Source organism: Homo sapiens, chromosome 3 (genome assembly GCF_000001405.40).
Source record: "Homo sapiens chromosome 3, GRCh38.p14 Primary Assembly".
Taxonomy (NCBI): Eukaryota; Metazoa; Chordata; class Mammalia; order Primates; family Hominidae; genus Homo; species Homo sapiens.
Window position 1 is genome coordinate 140,560,226 of NC_000003.12, and position 20,132 is coordinate 140,580,357.

General features: G+C 45.3%; 1 protein-coding gene across 2 annotated transcripts in view; it reads left to right on the plus strand.

Annotated features, from left to right (window-relative positions):
* Positions 1–17,172, plus strand: part of CLSTN2 (calsyntenin 2) — a 642,213-nt gene extending 625,041 nt beyond the window's left edge. For both annotated transcript variants that reach the window (NM_022131.3, XM_017007022.3), the window contains exons 13-17: positions 1,913–2,083; positions 2,586–2,731; positions 2,855–2,978; positions 3,736–3,920; positions 5,828–17,172. In NM_022131.3, the coding sequence (NP_071414.2) occupies positions 1,913–2,083; positions 2,586–2,731; positions 2,855–2,978; positions 3,736–3,920; positions 5,828–6,028 (827 nt within the window). In that variant the 3' untranslated portion in view covers positions 6,029–17,172. The remainder of the gene's footprint in view (positions 1–1,912; positions 2,084–2,585; positions 2,732–2,854; positions 2,979–3,735; positions 3,921–5,827) is intronic.
* Positions 17,173–20,132: the final 2,960 nt, after the last annotated feature.

The window sequence follows — 20,132 nt, forward strand, 5'->3', positions numbered from 1 at the left end:
TTAAACAAGTAGGATAATGGCATTTGCCCCCAGGCCTCAGTGACCGGCTTCAGCATCATCTGCTGCCCCCATTGACATTCTCTTTATGCTGTCAATACCAAAGACAGGAGATTCCCCCAACATGCACACACACACGCCTCCCTCACACTCTGTTAGTTCACACCTTTGCTCTGCTCTCTGGCTGGAAGGTCCCTTTCCTTCCCTATCCCTTGATTCCTGGCAAATATCCCTGCCTTCAGCACCTCCCCAAGAAGGCTGTTCCACCACCACCATTCTGACACTTCCAACTGCTGGTGCTTCCCTCAGCACACATTTTTTAGCCCTTGGTGGTGATTTCCTGTTTATTAAACCAGACCAGGAGGACCCCGAGGGCTCATCCATGGCCGATTTGCCTCTGGGTCCCTGAACCCAGCACGCTCCCTTGTACACAGTGGGAATCAAGGAACCTGCAGATGGAAGATAATACCCATGGTGAGAGAGAACCATGAGAAAATGGCAGCCGTGACACACTCCCTACCTCAGGGAGCTCTCAGTCAGCCACAGCGGGAGGTAGGAACAAGGACGATATGACCAGACCTGACAAGAAGCCGGCAAAAAACCTGGAAACTGTGGGAAGGCCATTGAAATAAAGATGCACATACAGCATTGCTAATTATAGACCCTGTCTTAAGCGTATGTTATTGTGCTTTTAGATTTTGCTGATTATACACGAAACCATTGTGATTGACAAGCATTTAAAAATTAAGATAAAGAAATTATTTATAATAATATATAATATATACCTAGTGAGAGCAAATATATTTTTGATATCATTTAAAAACTTAAAAGATAATTATTTAAAATAATCCATCTTTAGTGAATTTTTTAAATTTCTGTTTTAATAAATGTTTTATAACACACAAAGTATATTTAGTACACTTTATAAATAAATAAATATACTTATTTAAATTATCTCTCTTCACAAGTTTTTCAATAAAGGAGTGCAAGATCAAAGCCACTTGAAGACAACTAGCCTATCATCAGTGAGATGGGGATAGTAATAGTACCCCCTTTTAATGTCTATTAGGATTATATTTGCACATGACTGGCACATAGCACATACTTCATAAATACCAGTCGCCTTCTTAAGATGGGATTTTAATTTAGGACTGCCGAACTCTGCCCAGCATTCAAATACTCAGACATTTCTTTGGGAAATTTGGAGTCATACAATTAGGCAAGGACAACTTGACTGACCAACTTGCTAATGTGCTCCCCTGGGAGTACATTAATTATATTAATTTATCAAATATTGATTATTGGTTATATCATATTGACTTGATTATTAATGATTCAGCTCCATTTGAGCAAGGTTTATTAATAACAATTCCATGCTAGCTCCTGGGTTAGACATTAAGGATTCAATCATAAAAAGATAGTGCTTCTGCCCTTCAGGATCTCAGGTGGTCAGGGAGACTACGATCACATGGAGAAAGCTATGAGAGCATGGTGGAAGGCCACTTACCTCTACCCAAATGAGAGCTATTGCTTATTGAGCACCTACAATGTGCACTGGACACTGTTTTCAACCATCCCAAGACCCTTGCCTGCCTTATAGATGAGGAAACTGAGTGGTAGGTAGTTCCTCTAACACTATGCAGCTTCTCAGTGGCAGAGCTGGTATTCAAATCACACCTTTTGGCTACAGTATTCCTGCTGTTCCCACTAATTCATGCTACTAATTCATCCCACTAATTCATCCTCAGGGATGCCTGGACATCTGAGCGGTGGATGTGGTATTTGGGATCACACAGACTCTGCTCCTGACCCAGCCTTAACCTGGGGTGCAATAACAGAGGAGGAAGGTGATTAGCAAGGGCTGTTTTCTGAGCTGTCCTTCATGCCTGCATTTCCCATGTCTGTCTTCCTACAGACCCCAAATCAGAAGTCTTAGAGGAAATGCTTCATAACTTAGATTTCTGTGACATTTTGGTGATCGGAGGGGACTTGGACCCAAGGCAGGAGTGCTTGGAGCTCAACCACAGTGAGCTCCACCAACGACACCTGGATGCCACTAATTCTACTGCAGGCTACTCCATCTACGGTAAGGCCACACTCAGCCCCCTTTGCCCCAAGGGTGTCCTCTTAGAATGTCCTTGTCCAGGGAGACATGAGTGAGATTGCACCTGTGAAGGAGCACTGTGAAGCCCCAGGGACCAGTTGGAGATCCTTGGCCTCAAGCATGGATTTCTAGACCCTCCTTTGGCAAGTTACTCCAGCATCTTGGGGACCAGTCCCACATTCCCACTCCTGGGGAGTTCTTTTGTAGAAGCTAGGTGGATGCCTTCTCTTACAATGTTTGATCTCAACAAATGTCACAGAAACATCTGGAAGATTAAGGCAGTCTGTATGGAAAGCTTGTGCATCAATGTAATTTTGGCTCCTTAGAACTTCTGCACATTGTCTGCCCAAAATATCTTGAGCTCTTACCCTCAACAAATTTACAAGACCCATGAGGTCTTGTACCACAAGCCCTGGCTTGTCTCCTCTCTTCTCTTCCTCCTCCTTTTCTGCCTTCTGATGACAGGTGTGGTCTCTTGGCACAGGTGTGGGCTCCATGAGCCGCTATGAGCAGGTGCTACATCACATCCGCTACCGCAACTGGCGTCCGGCTTCCCTTGAGGCCCGGCGTTTCCGGATTAAGTGCTCAGAACTCAATGGGCGCTACACTAGCAATGAGTTCAACTTGGAGGTGAGTGGGTCCTGCCATTGTTAGGGAAGCCAAGGCTCACCCATTCCCTCATTCATTCAGAAATGCTGTAACTGGCCCACCTGCCACTCCTGGGTCAATAGCACCTCTCCCCACTCTTCCCAGGTCAGCATCCTTCATGAAGACCAAGTCTCAGATAAGGAGCATGTCAATCATCTGATTGTGCAGCCTCCCTTCCTCCAGTCTGTCCATCATCCTGAGTCCCGGAGTAGCATCCAGCACAGTTCAGGTAGGGTGCCCAAGAGGAGGGACCCTCAGGACACAGGTCGTCATTGTGACTCAAGATTATCTACTCAACAGACGGTTATGTTGTAGCAAACGTAGGTGCCCAGAACTGAGGGAGGGAACCCAGCAATGGAGAAAATGTGCCCTGGCTTTGAGATACTCACACCCTCAATAGGCAGTCGATAAGTAAACAAGAAATTACGCAACACACATAATAGCAGAGGTCAGTACAAAGGGCTGGGACAAAATTTCAGGCCCAACTCAAAACAATGTCATGTATGAAGCTTTCCATGAGCCCTCTACACACACTCACACACACGTACACACCATATTGCAACGTCCTCTGCCCAAATTTCTATTTGAGCACTTGCCATATTGTGTTACCATCTGGTGGGCACTTGTATCTGTTTCTACTAAACTCTACAGTGCTTGGCTCTGTGGAAGTTTCTTTATAATTTGAGGGGTAAAGCCAGGAATAAAAGAGAATTTGCATTTAATGAACACCTATACTGTGCCTATGTGGAAACTCACAGATTATTTAATTTACACCTAACTATTACTCATAGGATAGGAATTATTATGTCCATTATAGAGGTGATGAAAGTGAAGCCCAGACAGGGTAAGGTACTGCTCTAGAGTTCTACAGCTGGGAAGTGGTAGGGCAGACTTTATCCTATGCACGGATGTTTCATTCATGCTCCCTCACAAGAATGAGCTAGGCCTTTGTTCACCATGTCATGCGAGTTTTTTCCTTGTTCCAGTGGTCCCAAGCATTGCCACAGTGGTCATCATCATCTCCGTGTGCATGCTTGTGTTTGTCGTGGCCATGGGTGTGTACCGGGTCCGGATCGCCCACCAGCACTTCATCCAGGAGACTGAGGCTGCCAAGGAATCTGAGATGGACTGGGACGATTCTGCGCTGACTATCACAGTCAACCCCATGGAGGTGATCCTCATGCACGGCTGGGAGTTCTGGGTGGGGTGCTTCTCCCTCTACCCAGCTCAACCCTTCCTATGCCTAAAGCAGCCCCATACCCCCTCCTTCTGGAAGCCCTGCCCCATCTAGTCCAGCTCCACTGATTCTTCCTGTCTCTGAGCTCCTCTAGCCCTCTCAGCCTGAACAGATCATACCTTCCCACCAACTACATTCTCTGATTTAAAATGTATTAATTGCTCTTACCCCACAAACAGAACCAGAAATTTTGTTAAAGCAAGCAAACACCACGAGGTGGCTAAGCCTTGCTTCCCCCATAGTATTTAGCTCAGAGCTAACTAACACTTAGGGACTCAGTATTGAAGTTTTGAGTAACTAACAGTGCAAATTAGATGGCTTTGCTCTACACTGCCTGAAGAGTTCACTCAAAGGCTTGGAACAGATTAAAAGAAAAATATAGCAGCAACGCCTGCCATTTATTGAGCCCCCATTATGCCAGATACTGTATAGAGTGCTCTATATACACCACCTCATTTAATCTTCCAACAGCCAATAAAATAGGAGTTATCATCTTCATTTACCAAGGTGGAAACCAACTAAGAAAAGAAGTAACATACTCAAATTAACACAGCCAATAGTCAAATTTAAGGTTATCTGATTCTGAAGTCTGTATCTTTCCAGTTAGCCAACAGCCCCCAGAATCTATCCATGAGTGTCAAAGGAAGCCCTCTACATCATGCCCTTTGCCCATGGGTTCTGGTTGATGATAGACACAGGCTTAGAAAAGGTAGGGGAAGATGATTACCCCAGCCTGGTCCCCAGTTTCCACCTCGGCTAGCCTCACACTCCAATTCCAAAGCCAGTGTGCTGATGTGGCTCAGTTCCTCCAAGCATGTGCTGTAGGTAAAATGCTGAGCTCAGTGCTATACAGACTCCAGAATTTCCACCTTCAAAGAGCTGAGCCTTGAGTGTAGAAAACAAGACCACTATACCTGGAGCAGTGTGAGGACAAGGCAAGAGTGTGCCTAACAAGGGCCAACCTTGTGATGTCAAAAGTCAATGACCTTGAGGAGGAAAAGCCTTCAGGACTGCAACAATCAGGGAAGATTCCTTGGAGGAGGTTGGCCTAGGGGAGACCTTGAAGAGTGGGTAGGATTTGGGGTAAGGTAGAAGGTAGGAGGTAAAAGACAATTCCTAAGAAGTGTAAGGGGAGGGGTTGGGTAGCCAAGCAAGGAGAAACAACTTTTATGACCTGGTTCATCAATGCAGAACATAAATCCAGAAATGAAATTTTGCTGGAATTATCCAAAAGCTGGAGGGAGGGGGAATTGGACTGGAAAGGAAGGGGTACAGCCTGAGGACACAAGTCAGGGGGTGAGCAGCAAGCATGGAAAGTGAGGACCAATAAATTTGTCCTTTCCAAAGGAATATTTTTGAGGGGAAGCATACCTGAGTCTTTGCTTAGAATGCCTTCTGCTCCCAGGGACATTGCATGCACACTTGGAAAAGAGACACAAGATCAAATGTCATCCTCTCACTGAGAAGCAAACACTAAGGCTTGGACAGCTCCATTTAAATAAGCTCCAGAAATGCCTGAAAACAAGCCTTGGCCTGAAAGGTTCAGTAAATGATGGATAGGATTGGCTAAAATGTCCAGCCCATCATTTATACCCAACAGTCTACCTTGAGTTCATGCCTTGGAATTTGCTATTTCAGGCTTTTGCCTTGAACCTTCTAGCTTCCTTTTTACCAGAAGACTTCCCTTCCAGGAAGTCTGTCTCCAGGCTGAAGAGTTTTGCACTAAAAGAAGAAATTCCAAGGGGCCGTAAATGTTTCCTTAATGGATGGAGAGACATAAGCTCCAAAATGGCCTCTGTTCAGCCCCTGATGAGCATTTGCTTTTTCTCCTTGATATCCAGAAACATGAAGGACCAGGGCATGGGGAAGATGAGACTGAGGGAGAAGAGGAGGAAGAAGCCGAGGAAGAAATGAGCTCCAGCAGTGGCTCTGACGACAGCGAAGAGGAGGAGGAGGAGGAAGGGATGGGCAGAGGCAGACATGGGCAGAATGGAGCCAGGCAAGCCCAGCTGGAGTGGGATGACTCCACCCTCCCCTACTAGTGCCCAGGGGTCTGCTGCCTGGCCCACATGTCCCTTTTGTAAACCCTGACCCAGTGTATGCCCATGTCTATCATACCTCACCTCTGATGTCTGTGACATGTCTGGGAAGGCCTTCTCCAGCTTCCTGGAGCCCACCCTTTAAGCCTTGGGCACTCCCTGTGTTTCATCCATGGGGAAGTTCCAAGAAGCCCAGCATGGCCATCAGTGAGGACTTCAGGGTAGACTTTGTCCTGTAGCCTCCACTTCTGCCCTAAGTTCCCCAGCATCCTGACTACCTGTCTGCAGAGTTTGCCTTTGTTTTTTCCTGCAGGGAAGAAGGCCCACCTTTGTGTCACTCACCTCCCCAGGCTCAGAGTCCCCAAGGCCCTGGGGTTCCAACTCACTGTGCGTCTCCTCCACACAGACCAGTAGGTTCTCCTATGCTGACTCCAGGTTGCTTCATACAAGGAGGGTGGTTGAACTTCACACACGTAAGGTCTTAGTGCTTAACAGTTTAAAGGAAAGTCCTTGTTGAGGCAGAACTAAGTTTACAGGGAAAGGTACACACATTCTCTCTCTCTCTCTCTCTCTGTCTATCTAGTTCCCCAGCTTGGAGAGCCTTTCCCCTTGCTTCTTTCTGAGGCCATATAAGCTTATAAGAAAAGTCCCAAACCAAGAATAGGTCCTTGGCCACAAGCAGGGTCTGATCCCCCATCAGAGCTATCTGAGCCTGCCTGTCTGGGCACCTGCTGCAACCATGCAGCTACCCTGCCAGGGGCACTCAGCAAACAGAACCACAGGGCCCAGGAGGCATTCCACACAGGCACTGCCCCAGGACAACACAACAAGGACAGTCACAACAAGGACAACAAGGACACAACACAACACACAACAAGGACAGTCACAACAAGCCTAGAGCCAGAAAGCAGATGGAAATGCTAATGAGGTCAAACGTAGGCTTCATGGTGGGTGGAGTGGGGGTGGCTGGGCTCCCCCAGGACAGAGGGGACCCTGAGGTTGGCAAGGCTCTCACCACTCAGCCTTATGGTCCCTTATCTCCTATCTTCCCTCTTGAGAAAATACACGCTTTCTGCATGTATTAGAAACGCACGAGCTCCACCAAGTCTACAATGAAAGTTTGAAATTTAACTGCAAGGAATTAGAAGCATATTTGCAATCATTGCAGCTTCTTCTTTCTTCTGCTCATAAAAGGAGGAACACTTTAGATAGAGGGCAAATATATCTGAAAACCTAATTTCTTTCTTTTTTTGATAAGGAAATCTTTTCCATCTCCATCCTAACATGCACAACCTGTGAAGAGAATTGTTTCTATAGTAACTGGTCTGTGATCTTTTGTGGCCAAGAGAATAGCAGGCAAGAATTAGGGCCTTGACAGAATTTCCACGAAGCTCTGAGAACATGTTTGTTTCGAATGTCTGATTCCTCTTTGTCATCAATGTGTATGCTCTGTCCCCATCCTTCACTCCTCCTCAAGCTCACACCAATTGGTTTGGCACAGGCACAGAGCTGGTCCCTAGTTAAGTGGCATTTATGTTAAAAAAAAATAGTTCAGAATCTCAGCCTTTTCTTTGTGTCATCAAAACAGCTTAAGAAGGGGACTACTGCCAATGTCCTCTAGTCTGACCTCCACCCAGGGAGGACCCATGGCAGGTCTTTTCAACTTTCTGATTCATGAGAACAACCTTGTGAAGCTTTTCCCACCTCCTAAAGTGTTTTCTGCATCTGTTCCTTCCTTTGGACCTCACAACAAATCCTGTGAAGTAACTGAGACATCTGTTGTTAGATACATTTTTGTGATGAGTAAACTGAGGCTTCGTGATTCAATGTCTTGTTCAGAGTCATTCAAAAGTATAGACAAGACCAGTCTCCCCAACTTCCACTCCTGGTGCAGGATTCTACTTATGTTCATAGGTATGCACCTAACAGACACTGCTGCAAACCTACTATGTGCTAAGCATCCTACCAATAGCTGTGAGAAAAAGAAAAGCTGAATAAGATAAGCTCCTTCCCTACATTATATTTGCAGACGGGAAATAAACAGGCCTAGAAATTACACAAGAGACAAATGAAGAGGAAGAGAAGTCACAAGAGAAGAAGGATGCGGTCACAAACTTAACCAGTGCTCTTATTTTTCCCTTCTCAGGGAAAAACACCAGAAGAAGCTGGGGTTTTATATTCATTGGATGGAAACAGATATTTCTCCTGGGAATTCTCCCAACCAAATAGCCCTTTTCTATTAGGCTGTGTCTGTACATCCACAAGAGGAAAGTCTATAGGACTGATTAGTTTTCACAATCCCATTTAAATAAAAAAAAGATCTTTAGTTGGGCATTTAGGAGCAACTGAATTCTCCCAAAATTGTGGCAGCAAAAAGAACACTTCATATGCTTAAAACCCATTCTTTTTGAATTAGATTTTGATTTTAAATATTTAAGTCTGGTGTTTGTGAGAACACTTTTCTCTTTGCTCAGTCTTTTCGATCTGGTTGGGTAGGGAAGGTGTTCCTCATGCTCTCTGGGTGGCTGCCTTATTCATAGTTGAGAGAGCTGTTAGGTAAAATCTTTATATGTGTTGGGGTTTTTTTGGTAGGGGGGGTAGCAGGTAAAGGTGGCCCATGGCTAGGGCAGCAAAGATGAATAATTTGAGGAAGCATTTGGTTGGTGGACTCATTTGCAGAGAAACAGTGGTGACAACAAATCAGAGCTGTTTCCCTCAACTCTGGCTATAAGAGGTCATTCTCTGCATGTCAGCTACAAAGATCAGGCACTTGAATGAATCCGCTGGGTTGGCAGGCATTGGTCATCTTCGCAACACCCTCTTCCTCACCATGGATGAGAACAAGACGGGAGTGGTTATATCCCAGTAACAGAAGCTTTGGGAGGTATCCAGGTGAGCAGGGTAATGTGGCTTGCCCTCCCCCAGATATTCTGATCCCAAGAAAAAGGTGTCATTAATCAGTCTGGCATTTTCCACCCTCCATATGCTGGCATCCAGGAACCAAAACCCCTGAAGGCCTAGACACCCTATGACCTCTAACTGAGATGTTGGCAGCCAGGCAGATGCAGGCTCATGTCCAGGAGGAACTGCTGACTGGTTTGGCCACAGCCCAGTTCATTGCTTGTCTTGCCAAGTGGACAACCAGATTCTGCCTTCCTGAGCTTGAAAATAGGCTACAACTCTCAGGTGATTCAGATGACATGGAGGAGAAGTTGGAGGAGAAGATTGAAATGCTTAAATCCCAGTGCAGAATGAGTTGCTTCAGTGGAGTAAAGCAACCGGCTAGTTGGTAGCCTGCCTTAAAAAATACTAAACATATATCATCATACATTTGATCAAATGCTGTAAGCACAGCCAAGGCCCAAATTCATCTAGATACCAAAAATGTGATTTCAGTGAAATCTCTTTTCATTGCCGCTTTCTTTTGTTGTTGTTTGTTTTTTGAGCCAGAGTCTTGCTGCTCTGTCACCCAGGCTGGAGTGCAGTGGCACAATCTCAGCTCACTGCAACCTCCACCTCCCGGGTTCAAGCGAGTTTCCTGCCTCAGACTCCCGAGTAGCTGGGATTACAGGCATCCACCACCATGCCCAGCTAATTTTTGTATTTTTAGTAGAGACAGGGCTTCACCGTGTTGGCCAGGCTGGTCTCAAACTCCTGATCTCAGGTGATCTGCCCACCTTGGCCTCCAAGGTAATGAGATTATAGGAGTGAGCCACCGCACCCAGCCCTCATTACCACTTTCTTGAATTTACTCAATCATCCTATCAAGCAGGGTTTAGACCAACATCTTTGCATTTAATAAGGGCTCTACTTTGTATACATGGACCATCCAGTGAGAGAGCTGGGGGTGGTGAGAAGCAATGTCCCCCATTCCTATATGTCAGGTGTCAGCAAACTATCTGTAAAGAGGCAAATAGTAAATATTTTGGGCTTTGTGAGCCATTTGGTACCTGTCACAGAATAGTCAGCCCTCCATATCTGAGGTTTCCAAATCCATGGATTCAACCAACCTTGAATCAAAAATATTTGGGAAAAAATGTATAGTTGCAACTGACCTGAACATATTCTTTTTTTCATTATTATTCCTTGAACAATACAGTTTAACAGGATTTACATAGCATTTACACTGTATTAGGTATTATAAGTAACCTAGAGATGATTTGAAGAACACAGGAAGTTGTGCATAGGCTATATGCAAATACTATGCATTTTATATAAAGGAATTGAACATCTGTGGATTTTGGTGTCCGAGGGGAGTTCTGGAACCAATCCCCTACAGATACTGAGGGATGACTGTACTCAGCTCTCCTATTGTAGCATGAAAACAGACAATACGTACAACAAATGAATGTTTCAATACAACTTTATCTAGTTTCCATAAAACAATTTAAAAACACTAAAAAAGCAGGCAGTTTGGATTTATGTAATTTTCATATCTTTTTTTACCCTTTTGATTTACATTTTTAATAATTTAAAAATATAAAAACCTTCCTCAGCCCACAGGCCATACGAAAATTAGCAGCCAGCTAGATTTGGCCCAAGGCCAAAGTTTGGCAACCCGTACCATACACCATGGAAGTTAGCCTTCCACCTCAGGAGAAAGCAAGCTGCTCTCATAAGCCTCTCACCAACTACCCAGTAGTCTTTGCCTCCAAACTGAACAACAGGAAAAAGTGCCATAGTTTTTAATTAAGCTGTTTTAAAAGTCCATGTTCCGGGGGAAAACAAAAAAGAAACAAACAAAACACTTGTTATTTGCTGAACTGACAAACTGACAGATATTCCACGAGAGTTGAAAGCCTTGGATCGAGGTGATTGCCTGGTTACTGAGTGCTAACTCCACTGAGGCAAGTGTTAGCCCCCCAAGGCTCAGTGCCTTCCCAGCACAGCTCAGCCCATAATGATCTCTGAGCAGGAGTGTTCATTATCTCAGACTGATTTTCATTTCAGCCCTACTCTTGCCATTGCTCTAAAAATGATCCTAAAGACTTGTGACTGTTTGAATCAATAGCAACATCATCAGTAGAAAGCCCGACCAAGCACACTTCGAAATTAGCAATCTTCTTGGCTCTATGGCTCAATATCAGCAAGAAGAAAAAAAGACAACTTTTTTTTTAATCATCCCCACATTTAAATTAACCAAATAGTTTTTACAAAAAAGTAGGTAAGTGGGTTTAATTCTTTGAAAGTATTTGCCAGTGAAAAGTAGATGATTTTTAGGTAAGATAACGTTTAGGCCTCTGGGGGATCCCCAAAGCCTTCTGCAATGTACTCTGGCAGGCTATGAATGGTACAGGATTCTGCATCTATATGAGACATTTATTGAGGCTGACAAGCAAAAGCCCTTGGCACAATTTAATTTTCACATAACCACTTTCCATTGTCCAGCTGCAGGCAAAAGAAATGAGCAATGAAAGTTTTGAAGTCTACCCCAGTACCCTCATTTCCTGTCTTTATTTCCTTTACTTTATAGATGTATTCTATACCTGCTATGTAGATAATGCTCTAGTTTTCCCTTTAGTGCCAACTGGAAAAGGAGAGTTGGCTTTACAGGGGCTGTGGATTAAGAGCCAGGCTTCATTCCATCCCAGGGAGACAAAAAGAGACAGAAGAAGTTACCTCCAGCAGCACCCCAGAAAGCTGACAGATATTCCCTGTATGCAGGTAGTAAACAGATGGGAGTCTGTGTTTGCAGCTATGTTCAGTGTAATTCAGCAGACCTTCACTGGGCACTTGTGATGGGTCAGGCCCTGTGCCAGCAACAGGGGAAGGGAGGATGAACAAGGCATGTTTCCCTGACCATGAGGAGCTCTTGGCCTGTGAGCTGTTGGGATGTCCCTTTGTGGTGTTGGAAGCTGTGCACGAGCAGTCAGGACTTTGGGGACAGAAGTTTAGTGTTAGGGAGGCAGGGTAACTTGCTTTGACAGCTACCCACCCTAAGTCAGATGACAGGTGTAATTCTAGGGGCCCTGATATGCATCACTGAGGCAGACTGAGGAGCTCTCCAGGGAAGTAGGCAATATTTCCCTGAATATTCCTCAATTCCAATCAAGGCTGACTCAGTTCACTTATGGATGAAAGCCAGTTACCCTGCCCACTGGGCAGAAATAACATGGTTGACAGCTGACATTCAGAGAAAATAAGACAGAAGCAGTCCTTAAATATAAACAGCAGCCAGGTGGACCTGGAAATTTAGGAAGGGTGATGCAGGTAGAGGGGCCAGCAGGAGCCAAGTCTCAAAAGGCACAAGCCAGACTGATGCAAGGGAGCCCTCCTGAGGCCCAACATCAGAGCTGAAGATCTAAGGAGGGCCCACCTCCACGAGACCTGCTGAGGGCTTACATTTGGTGCTGAGGAGCAGTGGTTCCCTGGGCCAGCTGCATCACCTGGGAACATGTGAGAAGTGCATATTCTTGGGCCCCACCCCAGACCTACTGAATGAGAAGCTCTGGAGGCAGGCAGTCTGTGATTTAATGAGCTTTCTGACACACACTAAAGTTTGAGAACCACTGATGCAGAGGATGAGGAGATGACTTGAGCTGGCATCGGGAAGAACTGACTATTAACTAACAAGGTAAAATCAATGACTAGTGCAGTGAGGGTGCCAAAGCAAACCACCCCCAGCCCCCATCCTGGGCCTTTTTGGCTCCAGTTTATACTCACTGAAGCAGTGGTTTCAAGGAACCTTGGTCCTAGTCCGCATCCTTCACCTGCCCTTGGGCATGAGACAATTCCTGCCTGCCTGCCCCTTCTATCCTAGAGAGAGAGACTGCCCAGGAGAGGCTGCCATGAGGTCACTCATCCCCAGGAAGGCCACCTGCCAGGTTTCTGTAAGCTGAGCAGCCTCTTCGAGGGCCATATTTTGTGGAGAAACACTGAAACTGCAGCAGTGACCCTGGTCACTAGGAGAGCTGCTTTCTACACAGCCTGTATGCTGGTGGAGACACCCAGGGCCTGGCAGAGTGTGGAGGGGGTCATTTAAGGACGTTGCCAGGTTGCCGCAGCACTGCTCTGTTTGTTTGTAATGAGACTGGGGCATGCAGCATCACAATTCAAACACTGAATTGCTTGGGGAATGGATGGCCTTCCTTGGAAGGGCAGTAACTCATTCTGGATGTTACTAAAAGTAGAAAACAAAAATCCAAAAACAAACCTACAGCCTCATTTACAATTAGAATCTGTCTGGGCCTTCTGATTTCTAAAGTCTGTGAGGCTGCCAGGATTCACCAATTCTCCTTTCCCCTGAGGCCCAGCAACTATTGATTTATAGCTTAAACTCTGTGAAGGTCCACAGACCTTTGAAAGGAACTTGCTGGTACTTTGTCAGTCGTGTACACCTAACTGACTCCTCCTACGAGGTACAGTCTCCTCATACAAGGGGTTTTGAGATGGAGAGTCAGAGGGCCAGGGCCCTGGGCTTTGGGGTGGAAGGACAGAAGAGTAGCAGTCTAGGAAAGGGACTAGACATGTAGCCTAGGAAAACTAGCACCATCTGTTGAGTTCTGAAGAACCCAGATTCTCTCCTGCTCACAGCCTCAGCAGTCTTTTCAGAGTCCTCCTGAATGGCCCAAAGACACCCCTGTTTCTGGGGAACAGAAGGGAGCTGGTACCTCTGGACCATTGAGGCAACACCTCCCCAGAGGCAGGACCCCGCCCCCATGAGAACATGCAGTTGAATGATGTGGTGCCTGGCCAGGACCTTGGAAAACGTGGCCATGTGAGACTAGTATAGATCTCCAACTATTGCTGCCTCTGCTGATATGGCCACCTCCTTAAGGTAAGAAGACTACCGACTTAGCTATTGTGGCACCACGGGAGCCTAGCACTGCACCTGGCCCATGACATGTGTGCCACAAATGTTGAATTGAATTGAATCCCAGAGATCACTTGACCTCAGTGAAGGGACTGGGTTTGAAGAATTAAGACCCCCCAGTGGAGAAAGCCTCCTCCAACTTCCTTCTCGGTTTGTGAGTCAAGGTCCTTTGTAAAATCAGATCGACGAGGGTGGAAGTGCAGTGAACAGAGGACAACATTTGTGATGCACGTGGGAGAAAACAGGAGTGGGGTTGTTTGGGGACTACCCCTTCCTAGCTATAGTCAGTAAATGGAGCCCCTAAGCAAGGAGCAGGGGTAGATGTGCCTGGGTGAGGCCTGCTTGCTCCACCGTCGAGGTCATGGGCAGCATCCCAACTGAGGAGAGAAAACCCTAATTTGTTAATGACCCAGCCTTGTGCTGCTCTCCAGTTCCTTTCATCAGATTTACTGCAGAGCAGATTCATCAACATGAAGTTCAATTCCCAGTAGACTAATGAAAAGAGGGCAACAGACTTGAGAAGAGCCAAAATGCAGACAGTGTGTATTAATCACAGACAACAGAAACGTGTTAGCTTTAATGTCTGTTTGCTTTTATCTTGAAATGAAAATGCATCTCTGTTACCTGGACCCTTTTTACTGCACATTTCAGAACAGAAATGGGACACCCACACACGTATTGAGGGTCCTTTTCCCCGGCAGGAGGAGCTACCAGAGAAATGAGCCCACATTTTGTGTGCAGAGAGAATCAACCCACAGGTCTCAGCTGCAGACTCCAGCACCTCTGCAGAGAAGGCAGGCAAAGGGATGAGGAGGTAGCATCTCCTCTTCAGAAGGATTCATAAGGGCCTCTGTGAGGAGGGCCTTGCTTGTGCCTGTGGGTCATGGATGTTAATATAAAGGCTCATCCACCCTTGGTGGCAAAAGTGCATCCATCCTGGCCAATATAGAACACTCACATCTGGAGCCCACGCCCACCCACCTCCAGCTCCTCTACATGGCTGCAAGAGCATGGCTGATGTGTGGGATTCAGAAGAGGTCTGCTCATGTTCACTAGCCAAACTTTAGGTGGTGTGATACAGCAAAAAGCTTTTTTTGTTTTTCTGTTTTTGTTTTGTTTTTGGCGTGGAGGAGAAATTTAGACTTGAAAGTCAGGGCTGATCACTCAAAAAGTAAGATAGGAGATATTGAGGGAAAATGTGACTCATAGTTGGAGAGGAAACAGGAGAGTGGGTACAAGTGACAGCACCAGGAACAACCCCCTCCCCCAGATGCCAAAGCATTGCTCTGTATCTAAAGATGCATCCAAGTTTGCAAAAAATTATGGGTAAATCTGGCCATGTGACCAAAGAGGCAGTCAAATCAATTGCTTCCAAAGTCAGAGCTGTTTGAAGGTGATCAGCTCTTAATTGAACTAGTCATGATGAATCAATCCAACTGACTGCATCCAGTCTGACCTCGGTGGTTTCCATAAAGGGTTGTTGATGTCCTGAGCTGGACAGGGTGGGCAGGAGGTTGAAGAAAACCAGTTGGTGAGTATAGAAAAGAAATTGCATGTAGAAGTTGTTTGTTCTCAAAGAAATCTGTAGGTGTTAGAGCTGGGTTTGTTATGTTATTGTCAGGGACATTATAATATTGGTAAGGAGGAGAGAATGATTTGGTAGGGGTATTCGAGAAATTTGAGTACAAAATATAAATTATCAGAGATGAGTAGGCTATGGACAGCTGATTATATATATGTGTGTGTGTGTATATGTGTGCATATATGTGTACATATACACATACCCCAAAGCCATATACATATCTATAATACAGAAGTAAGAATAAAGTCATAAGTACCAGCATATTTTAAATCCTTAGAAGCACTGGTTGGGATGTTACATGTTTTTTCACTGTTGTTGTTTACCGTTAGCTCTCAAAGCAGTGGGAATAGTGCTTGGCACATAGTAGGAGTTTGGTAAACATTTGGAAATTGAAGACCCAGCTTATCACTCCTTCATAGAGACTCAGTAGTATGAGTATACCCCAAATTGAATGAGCCACAGAGAAATGCATCCAGCCACACTCCCTCTTAGCTGAGGAGAAGCCTCTGTGAATCCACAGATTCCATGCAATATTCAGCCAGCCGCAGACACAAGGTCTGGCTCCCTTGTCGTGAGAGTGAAGGCATGCTGCACACAGTGGGTTTGCATGCACCTAGACTGCATCTGCTGAACACCCAACAGCTGTTTCTACAAGCTAAAGTTGTAGCTTCTCTCTACCACTGTCTAAAGCTGTAGCTTGTCTCTACTATTGTCTCTACACCGTTGCCCAAACACTTGGTATAATGCTATTGAATTTTTCACCTCCAGGCATGATTTTGTAACCAATGTAAAGGTTCTGGGTTCAGCCAGTCTAAAAAGTCTAATAATTTCTTCTCTCAGTCCTTCCCTTCTCCCTTGTCTGGAGCTGCCACCGCCATTTAAAAGTGTTGGACGCTGTTTATTCCCAGCTTCTCAACCTCAGTGTGTGTGGGAAAGGCCTGAAAGAGAGAGGTATGTTTTCTCTCCTCCAGAGTCTCTGTGGTGTTGACACAGCAGAGAGAGGAGGGGGAGCAGCCTCGTCTTGCAGAATCACCTTCAATCACTGCTACTGTCTGGGCCATTACTGCCAGTCTGGCCGGTGTCTCCCACAGTGGATGGCTTTGCCTCCAGCGGTGGACCAGTGTGTACCTGACATGTATCAGACTTCTGAGCTCTTCAAGCTGCCTCAAAGAATGAATCTTTTTAGTCTAGAAAATGTGTTTATTTGATAAATATACTATTGTGTATGAGTGTGAAACAATGCAGACTTTGGAGTATCTCATTAGAAGGACTGTATGAATTTATAGAAAATTGAATCTAATTTCAGAAGAGCGCACTGTCTTCTCAGTCAACAAGGTTGCCCAGCCACAGAGGGTCAGAGAAAATGTCCTTTCCCCTCCCCACTCCTTTTCATAGAATCCTCTCTCAGGCCTAACTGAGCTGTCATATCCAATTCAGACTGACACAGAGTGAGGGGCGCTGAGAGTCTCTATGTATATAAAGATATAGGAAGAAAATAAGGATCATCACAGGAATCTGTTGGGCTTCTCCCCATGACTGTGATCTTACCCATGTTTGAATCACAAACTTTAAATTTATAATAATTATGATTCTTGCAGTTTTCAAGTAATTTGTTAAATGCCTATTCAACACAGACAGATTTTTATTTTCAGCTGTGGCTTGTAAATGCCTACAAACTGATTCATGTTGGTGGTCGTTATGACACTTTCTGTGAATTGGTGAATAAATATGATTTTAGAATTTCACAGTAAAGATGACCTCTGAGAGTTTTATTCTTCAGACTATTTGATAAGGCAAGACACCAAGAACTGCTCTGGCTGGGTCAATACTCTCTGGGGCTCTGTCCTAAATCCATGCCTGGGGAAGAGAGATGGGCGGGATGTGAGGCTGGTGGCATGGCAAGTTGGCCCCTATCAGGCTTCAGTCAGGGAACTTTTTTACACCCAGAGCCAAATTTGGCAGCGCAGTTATTGGAGACCAATGAAAAGACGTTCCTTATAACACTGGGCATTTATTCAGCACTTACGAAGTGCTGGAGCTCTACATGCATGATCTTAACCCCCAAGGTAGGCTGTTTTTACTGTTAAATGTGGAAAAGATGAGACTCAGAGGAGTCAGGGGCCCTGCATGAGGGCAGCAGAATTGGAACCTCCCTGTCTCTCTCCTACTGCTTCTTTTGTTCCCTCTTGCTCCTCCAGTAGACCTTCGTCCTGCTGACCTGCCCTAACACCCAGATACCCCCCCAGGGTCCCCTTTCCCCCAAAGCCCACTGAAGACGGGCTCCCTTTGCCATCGAGAGCTGGCAGAGATCCAGAGCGCTTCCCTAGGATTCTGCAAGTTGTGGTTACTGCAGCCTCCATCCTGTTTTGTATTGGGCCAACCCAATACAAAACCCTATCTTTTGCTTGAATTCCTCAGGGCAGCAGGGAAAATTCAAACAAAGTATTGTTGGAAGTGTTGGGGTCATGAAGATGAATCACTTGCCCAGGATATGGCAAACAGCTACATATCACAATCGACATTCTTGTTTTTGGACTCCTTTTGGCCAGCCTCCCCAGCCATGTGCCATCTTCCTGCCCTCTCCCCACTCCCTTCTCTCCCTCCTCTCATCTCTCTTCATCCTTCTCAGATGTAAAAAGTGAGTTTTTGTTTTTTGTTTTTTGTTTTTTTAAGAGAGATGGAGTCTCTCTTAAAGCCTGTCACCCAGGCTGGAGTGCAGTGGCACAACCTCGGCTCATTGCCAACCTCCACCACCTGGCTTCAAGCAATTCTCTTGCCTCAGCCTCCCGAGTAGCTGGGACTACAGGCACGCACCACCACACATCCAGCTAATTTTTCTGAATTTTTAGTAGAGGAGGGGTTTTGCCACGTTGGTCAGGCTGTTCTTGAACACCTGACCTCACGTGATCCACCCGCCTCAGCCTCCCAAAGTGCTGGGATTACAGGCATGAGCCACCACGCCCAGCCTCTTTTTTTTTCTCTTTAAAGAGCAGCATCATCATCTTTTCTTCATTGCCTGGTCTCCTGCCAAAAGCCATACTCGTCCTCCTACCCCAAGCAGTTAATCAAGATTTGTTCCCAAATATAGATCATTCACACCCTAATAGGAATTTTTCTTCTAAACATTAAGATAAGATTTTTTTTCTGCCCAATGTTTGTCAACTGGAAATATAATTTTTCTTTTACATCTCAGAGAGTCAACAAGGAAACTAAGAAGCCTTCATCGGTTTGGTAGTCCTTCCACACTATACCTTGGTAACTTCCATGTGTACATGCGCGCGTGCGTGCACACACACACACACACACACCTATTTTTGGGCTTCCCTGGTGCTCAATGTAGCAGCTAACTACCAAATTTCTGACAGTTCGCACCACTCTCTTACTCTCCAAACAATTCTGGCCTGTGTTCTTGCTGTCTGATAGATTCTTCATTGCCTTTCTGTGTCTATTCCTTCTCATCTCTTTTAAAAGCATCTCCTCATCCCTCAGCCACCACAGCAGCCTCCTCCCTGGCTTCCATCTTTCCAGACTACGTACGTGCCATGGGGCTAACATTGCTGAAGTTGCAGTGGGAGGTGCCCCTCAGGCTGACAAGCCACAGAGACTTCCAGTAACTTATACTTTCAAAGCAAAGTCCCTGGTGCTCTAAGGATTCCCCAGTCCCTAGGGGGCCAATAAACTATACTCTTTATCCTGAAAAAATACTAGTTTATCTGGCTTGAATAAACTTGGTAGAGGTTCATGGCAAAAAACTTCAAAACAACAACAAAAACAAATGTATAAACTATGGATAAAAGTCCTGGACAGAGGTGTTATCACAATCATATCTGGGTTCATGCTCTAGTGGAGAGCTTGGGATATAGCAAGGGCTCAGAAATAATTTATTATACAGAATTGAATTAAACCTCAAATCCAAGGTTCTAAATGACCTGGCCTCAACCTAAGTTTTCATCCTTTTATTGCCCACTTGCCCAGCACAAATCCTAGGTCTTGGCATTCTCAAAGCACATGGCAGTCCCAAAGCACATGGAGACTCCCATCTCCAACGCTTTTGTTCCTGCTACTCCTGATACCTGGAATGTCATCCCTCCTTACATGTCTTACACAATGAAAATCTTATCCCTAACTGGAGGTCTCACTTCAGAGTTGCAGAGCTATTTATCAGTGAGGCCATGCTTGATTTCCCCAGTGGAATGTAATCCTACCATTCTATGCACCCCCGGACCATGTCCTGTCTTATTGTTAAGTTCCTTCTAGTGGCAGGTGGGGAGAACAAGACATAGAACATGTTGCTCTAAACCAAACTCAAACACCTGCAGAGGTAAGGCAGGTAGCATAAGTGAATACAGCTGCCTGAGTGGGACTAGGGTGAAAAGAAAAATGCATGGCAAGTGCAGAGGGCTTGCTGTACCTCAGCTTCAGCCAACTGTCTCAGTACAAGGATGGTTGCCAATTATTGCCAGATCTTCTGATTTTTTTTCTTTTAAGAGAAGTCAAAAACACAGATTTTCCATGTGAAATCTACCCGATTTAAAATTGGGGCAGGAAATTCACTTTTTAAACAAATGTTACAGGGGCCAAGTAAAATAAGTTGTCAGGCTGAATTTAATACATGGGCAACTGGGTTGCAGCCTCTATTCTAAACTATATTAGCATGGACCAGGTGTGTCAGATTAACCAGAAAAAAAATTGTCCCAACACCCTCAATTTAG